Source organism: Homo sapiens, chromosome 3, assembly GCF_000001405.40.
Source record: "Homo sapiens chromosome 3, GRCh38.p14 Primary Assembly".
NCBI classification, from domain to species: domain Eukaryota; kingdom Metazoa; phylum Chordata; class Mammalia; order Primates; family Hominidae; genus Homo; species Homo sapiens.
In genome coordinates, this window is record NC_000003.12 from 64,342,473 (window position 1) to 64,349,144 (window position 6,672).

The 6,672-nt window shown below is 42.9% G+C and overlaps 1 annotated feature.

Moving 5' to 3' along the window:
• Positions 2,333-2,914: an enhancer, noted in NCBI's record as "OCT4-NANOG-H3K27ac-H3K4me1 hESC enhancer chr3:64330481-64331062 (GRCh37/hg19 assembly coordinates)". NCBI's record gives its function as "activates a minimal SCP1, AML or CMV promoter by ChIP-STARR-seq in naive H9 embryonic stem cells {active_cell/tissue: H9 hESC(naive)}" and the evidence as "EXISTENCE:reporter gene assay evidence [ECO:0000049][PMID:30033119]".

Consider the following 6,672-nt stretch of genomic DNA (forward strand, 5'->3'; position numbering starts at 1 on the left):
CCATCCGTGATCTAGTTTCTCATGCTGTCCCTATAACATACACCTTAAGGTTCTAGCATGAAAGGCCCTGGTTAAGATAAAACTGTTCTTATGGAATAAAATACTTTCCTGTTAGACTTCAGATATAATTTATTTTTCAGACCAATTACTTAGCAGGATCCTAAAGAGTTTAGGATAAAAAAAGAATACAAGGGAAAGCAGAAGTCAAGAGTGTAAACTGGGGTAAAATTTGCATATCCTTTCAAGTTAAGGATCTTCATCTTAGGATCATAGACACGTTGGAAAACCTATTATAATCCATGCACTCTCTCGCCAGAAAATCCTATGTGGGCATGTGCACATATAAAATATTCTGCATATAACTTCAGGAGATTCATTACACTGATGCCCATCAATGGATGCCCTTGGGAAATTGTGGCCTATAAGTTGAAAATCCAGCCTTTTAGTTCAAGGGTTAGCAAACTCTTTCTTTTCAGGGTCAGATAGTAAATCTTTTTAACTCTGGAGGTCATATGGTCTCTGTTACAACTACTCAGTCCTGCCACTGTAACGCAATAGCTGCCACATATGATAATGAAACAAATCACATGGCTGTGTTCCAATGAAACTTTATTTACAAAAACGGGCTACAGTTTGCTGACCCTTGCTTTGAGTTTTGGTATGCCACCATGAGTCATTACCCATTCAGGGAACATGTAGGGCCCCAGGCTTCCACAGAGTACAGTCTGACAAGAATGCTTTCTTCCCTGCAAGCTCCCCCAACAACCCTCTGCCCCCCTGCCCCTCCACCACCCCAGGCTTGGCTAAATACCTTCACAGCTTAGTAGTCTAGATTTCTAGGACTATGGCAGCTTCAAGGAGGTCTTGCTTCTCTCTCATTTAACTCTCTCCCCAGACCCTAAAAGTATCATGCCCTCTAAGCTGTTCTCATTAAAATCTCCTTCTATATAAATGAACCTAACGTCTAAACAGCAATGTTTTCATCCCTTGAAAATGCAGCTGCACATACATTTACAAGATTCGAGTGGAAGTGCTTAACCTAGGGGTATTGGTTCATCCCAAGTAGGTCTTGAAGGGAATAAAGAAAAAGAATAACATGGCCTAAAAACCTAGAGCAGGCCTGGGTTGTCCTAAGTAATTACATAAATTACTTAAGTGGGGTTACCATAGGTTAGAAAATCGCCTTATTAGTTTTGACAAATTTCATGAGAAAACGCTGCATCTTTAGATGCGGCATGATTAAAACATAATCTGCAGACGGCAGGAAGAGAACAGCCACTCCATTTTCCCCTGTGGTCATGTTTTTTTAAAGAACCTTTTAAATAATAGACACGGTTGTAATCAGATGCTACCCAAAGATAGATATGACATTATTAACCATGGAGAAGAGCCTGTTTCTCATCCCTCCTCTGCTAGATTTGCGCTATCCAACACACAGGATATACATCTGGGCTGATAATTAAACATGTTTAATGTTCATCGTAGCTGTTCTATGGAACGTGTTGCCACAGACTGCCTTTTGTATCCTTAGCTTGGACTTACTCTCGGATGAATGTGTGAGTGGGATGTGGGTGAAGTCACCTTGCCAACCAGACAGAAAGACAAAAATCACTTGATTCAAGAACCGTTTGCAGTTTTTCAGCCCAACTCCCAGCTCTCTTTCTTCATTTCCCAGGAATCTTTTCTTAATGTAAAATATCTTCCTGTTGACATGACAGGGAGAGTGGGGGGAAGGCTGGTTTTCATCCAGAGGAAACTGCTGGCTAAAGAACAGTAACTTGAAGTAGAGGAGTCTGAACCCCAAACCACACATGACAAGATGAGCACATTGAGTGTCCCATTTAGTCTGTGATTCAGATGTCTGAGTTCCTCTTACAGATATCTTCTCAGCTACATCATACAATTAAAAAACCCCCTCCATGACCTAACTATTGTAAATTCTTCAGTTCACTCAATTTAAAAACCTTCCAGGGAGCTTCAGCGTGAACAAGAGGCTATTTTTACAGCACCCCCAGGCATGCAAAGTGTTAGAAAAAAGCATCATCCCTCATGGGTCAATTAATTTAGAGGTCAGCTACCTCACCACCTGAAAAGATATATTTGTCTGTCCTGCAAGCATCTACAACTACAGGCAGACATTGTCCAAAGAATGGTAAACAAAGGAAACTTTTTACCCGATAAACATTTGGTCTTGATACGGGAAGTTCTCTTTTCCCAGTGGAAGCAAATGAAAATGCCACTGTTACATTTTTTCACAGGAGATGAGCCTAAAAGATGCCTTTGAGACACCAACAATCTGTATGCTGCAGGCTTTGGTATTTAACACAAGTGAAAGGGGCTTTGCCCTGCAATGGGAAGCCATGTTTGGTTTTGTTCTTAGAGATCTGTCTGAGTTTCCTAATTAGGAAGACGCCTGGAGAACATCAACAGGTCAAATATTTATTCTCGGAGAAGAGGCCAGGCTCGCCTAACATGCTCTCCCGATGTGTAGGTGAGTCACTTCCAAAGGCAGGAAGGATTACAAGCTGCTGAGTTCACAAATGGCTGCCAAGCTCAGGAGTTAGGGCCTCCTTCCCCAACTGTGCATGCATCACAGCTCACCAACCCACCTGGGGGCTCAGCATGACACAAAGGCTGAGCTCCTGCTCCTGGGGAGGTCAGCTCCAATCACTGGCATTTCAGAAAGCCCAAGAATGTTTGTCTTCCAAAGAGCTAATGCATAAGACCAGTTGGCCTGGAAAGGTTATTACCTTGAAGAATGCTAGGAGTCAAGAAGACAGATAACTGGCACCTATGATGCTAAATCCCCGTTTCCTTGGTTCCAAAATGTTATTCCATCACCCACAATCTGCTCCTTTTCTATTCTCTGCCTCTCTTTCCCTCTTCCTCTCCACCCCACCCCTACACCTTTGCATGAACCCCTTAAGTTCCTTTGAATAAAGCAACACAGCCTTTCCCTCTTGGTCTTTCATCTGTCACTAATTGGGATCAGTATTTTCCAGTTATATAAAGAGTGCCTGTGTGGCTTTATAACATATGCTGACAAATCATTTGGCAAACACTTTCTTTTGTTGCAACAAACTGCACTGTGGAGGACCGTAGCATTGGCAACCAAATATGTACACTCTTAATGAAGCAACAGAGATAAGAAATCCAACTTGACGCTGACTGCAGGCTCTGGGGAGCCAGAATCATATTAAAAAGGAAAATAGTGATCTATTATATAGGATGGATGTTTGTTGGAATGATTTCCAGATGGATCCAGGAGGCTCAAGAAGAGAAATTACTAAAGAATTATGCGAGGTTCACATGAAGGTGCTGTTAAGTCACAATTTATTTAGGAGGAATTTGCCCCAGCCTCATCATGTAATTAAAACCTTATAGAGTGCCTCCTAAAGCAGGATAGTGCACCAGGTTAAATGAGAATAAGAGATTAAAATCACTCTCACTTGAGAAGACATGATGCTTCACTCATTAATTCAGTAAGGATTACTGAGAACCCACTATCTGCCAGGCTCTGTTCTAGGTCCTTGGGATACATCAGTTAACACAAAAAGATTCCTGACCTTGCATTTCGTGAGGGAGGGAGTGACTATATTTAGCAGGGGCAGACAAACAAAAAATAAGTAAATGCTAAATATATTAGAATGTAGTAAGTACTCTGCATAAAGAAAAGCAGTACACTGGGGGAATTGAGCACACCGGGGAAAGAGTGTTAAATTTTAAATAGATTGTCAAAGTAGACCAGGGAACGACTTGAAGGAAGTGAAGGCATTCTAGGCAAAAGGAACAGCTGGTGCAAAGGTCCTGTGGCAGGGGCATGCTCCAGGAACTACGAACAGCCCGGTGTGGCTGGAGCACAGTGGGCCTGAGAGAGTACAGTACTAGATGAGAAATGAAAGAAACTGGGGGTGAAGAAAGGAGCTGTTGATCACATGATGACTGAGGGAGACGGGGGAGCCACTGGAGGGTTTTGATTAGAGACCTGACATGCTTTCCAAGGACCCCTCTGGGGGCTGGGATAGAAGGAATGCTGTTGCTGGAATCCAGGCAAGAGATGACAGTGACCACAATCAGGGTGGTAGCAATGGAAGTGGTGGGAGATGGTCAGAGTCTGTATATATTTTAAGGGTAGAGCCAACAGCACTTCCTGGTGAACTGAGTGTGAGGTGCAAGAGCAAGAGAAGAGTCAAAAGTGACCCCAAAGTTTTTGGCCTGAGAAAAATGAGATAAATGGAATTGTCATCAATTTCTATGGTTGGGATGGGATTTGGGGAGAAGACCAGGAGTCCAACTTTGGCCCTGTTAAGCTTGAGATGTCTGGTAGCCAACGAAGAGGAGACAATGAGGCAGCCACTGACTATGCAAGTCTGAGTTCAGGGAGGTACAAATCTGGGAGTTGGGGGCACATGGAGGATTTAGAGCCATGAGAAGGGTGAGCTCACCATGGTAACAGGCATTTTGTCTACAAAGCCCTCCAAATCCAGAAAAGGTGTTGGATTCTCCTCACTATCCACTTCTGAATCAGAATGCCCCTTAAACAAATGCAACAACAGACAGAAGAGGAGAACCAGCAAACTCTGGCACACATCAATCACAGCCTTGGTCAGCTGAGAATTCAGTAAGATACAGAGTTATGTGAAAGCTTGTGTGAGCCCTTCCGAGAAAGTAGAGTGGATGACTCCTGATTATTTTGAAAATTATATGGTACTTCTAAAGAAAGACGATAATGGGAAAAAACAGCATGAAGTCTAGAGCTCCAGTGTGCAGTCAAAACAGGCAAAATAACCAGTTACTCGAATTAAATTCTCAATTGAATTCATATTTCCTGTGCCTACTAAGTGTTTGGGTCTCCCCTGGAGAAGGCTCTCACCTCTCCTCCCTGCTCCCTAGGGTTACAGAAGCTGTGGGAAATATCTTCCTCTTTCATGCAAGAAGCACTTTATTTATACCTCTCATAAAGCCCTTCTCTTCACATTTTAATATATTGATTGATTGATACTTTGTCTTGTTTCAGGGAGAATTTAAGGCAGCTTATAAGGATATAAAAAATACAAGATGGCATAAATTAAAAATAGGAACAAAAGGAAAAGAAAAACGAGGACGGGAACATGAAATGGGTCCAAGAATGAGGCTAAATTGCATACCAAGAAGACGTATGGGCCACAAATTTGGTTCTAAGTTTGTAGCAGCCAATGTGGAAAAGGAAAAATTATACAATTACACAACTTGCTGTGTCCAAAAAGTAAAATCAGTCCAAGTGCTCTGGGAAAATTAAAACACTCACATGCATCCTAAATAACATCATCCCTTCTCCTCTTTGGGTTCTCAGCTTATGTCCTGTCTATAGGAGCTATTCAACAAATGTCTGCGGATAAATGAATGGATAATAAAAAACATAAACTCAGTCACCCATTCATTTGTCATTCATTCATTCTCATCCCATAAATATTTCCTAAGCATAAGCTATGGTGTTAGGCACTTGAACTAGCTGCTGGAGACAGGTTGGTGAATAAAACAAAGATGGTCGCTGCCTGCATGTTTTTTACATTATGGCAAGAGAGTGAGACAAAACACAAGTAAGCCAACAAACAAAATAATCACAAAGCGCATTGTGCTATGAAAGAATAAGATATCGATTAGAAGTAATATACAGACTTGGATGGTTGTGGTCAGGTAAGGCCTCTCTAATGCTTGAGACCTGAAGTAAGAAGAAGTTGCCAACATAAAGAGCTGGGGATATACAGAGGGAGCACTGTGCAAAGGTCTTGAGGCAGAAAAGAACCCAGCCTAATTGAAGTACAGCCCAATATGCCCAGAGATCACTGTGGCTCAAACACAGGGAGCAGGGAAGAAAGTGGCATGAGGTGACGCCTATAGGATCACAGCAGGCAGGGCCACCGTGGGAAGAAGTTCGTTTTACCCTAAATGCAATAAAGCATTTTAAGCCAGGGAGTAGCACCCAATGTACATTTGAAAGATCACTCTGGGCTGGGCGCGGTGGCTCACGCCTGTAATCCCAGCACTTTGGCAGGCCGAGGCTGGTGGATCACGAGGTCAGGATTTCAAGACTAGCCTGGCCAATATGGCAAAAACCCCGTCTCTACTAAAAATACAAAAATTAGCCGGGCGTGGTGGTGCGTGCCTGTAGTCCCAGCTACTTTGGAGGCTGAGGCAGAAGAATCACTTAAACCCGGGAGGCGGAGGTTGCAGTGAGCCGAGATCATGCCACTGCACTCCAGCCTGGGAAACAGAGTGAGACTCTGTCTCAAAAAAATAAAACACAATAAAAAAAAATCACTCTGGCTGCACCTCGGAGAAAAGTCAGGAAGGGGAGAAGCAACAAGATCAGTGAAGAGGCTGATTGTTGTCTAGGCAAGATGGATAGTGGCATGAGCCAGAGAGGTGAGAATACAAAAAAGGAGGGGTAGGCTATAGAAAAACTGAAGAAAATTTGAAATCATCTGGATTTGGCCAGTAGATTGGATAATTAGGAAGAAATAGACAAAACAAGGAGTCAAGAACAGCCCAAGGTTTCTAGGACAGAGGTGGCGACGATGAAAATGGCAACATCAGCTAATGGAAACTGAAGCCGCATCTACGCTGGGCTCTGTGCTAAGCACAAGGTTTGAATTATGCCACCATCTCAACAGCTCTGTGTGGTTGGTACTA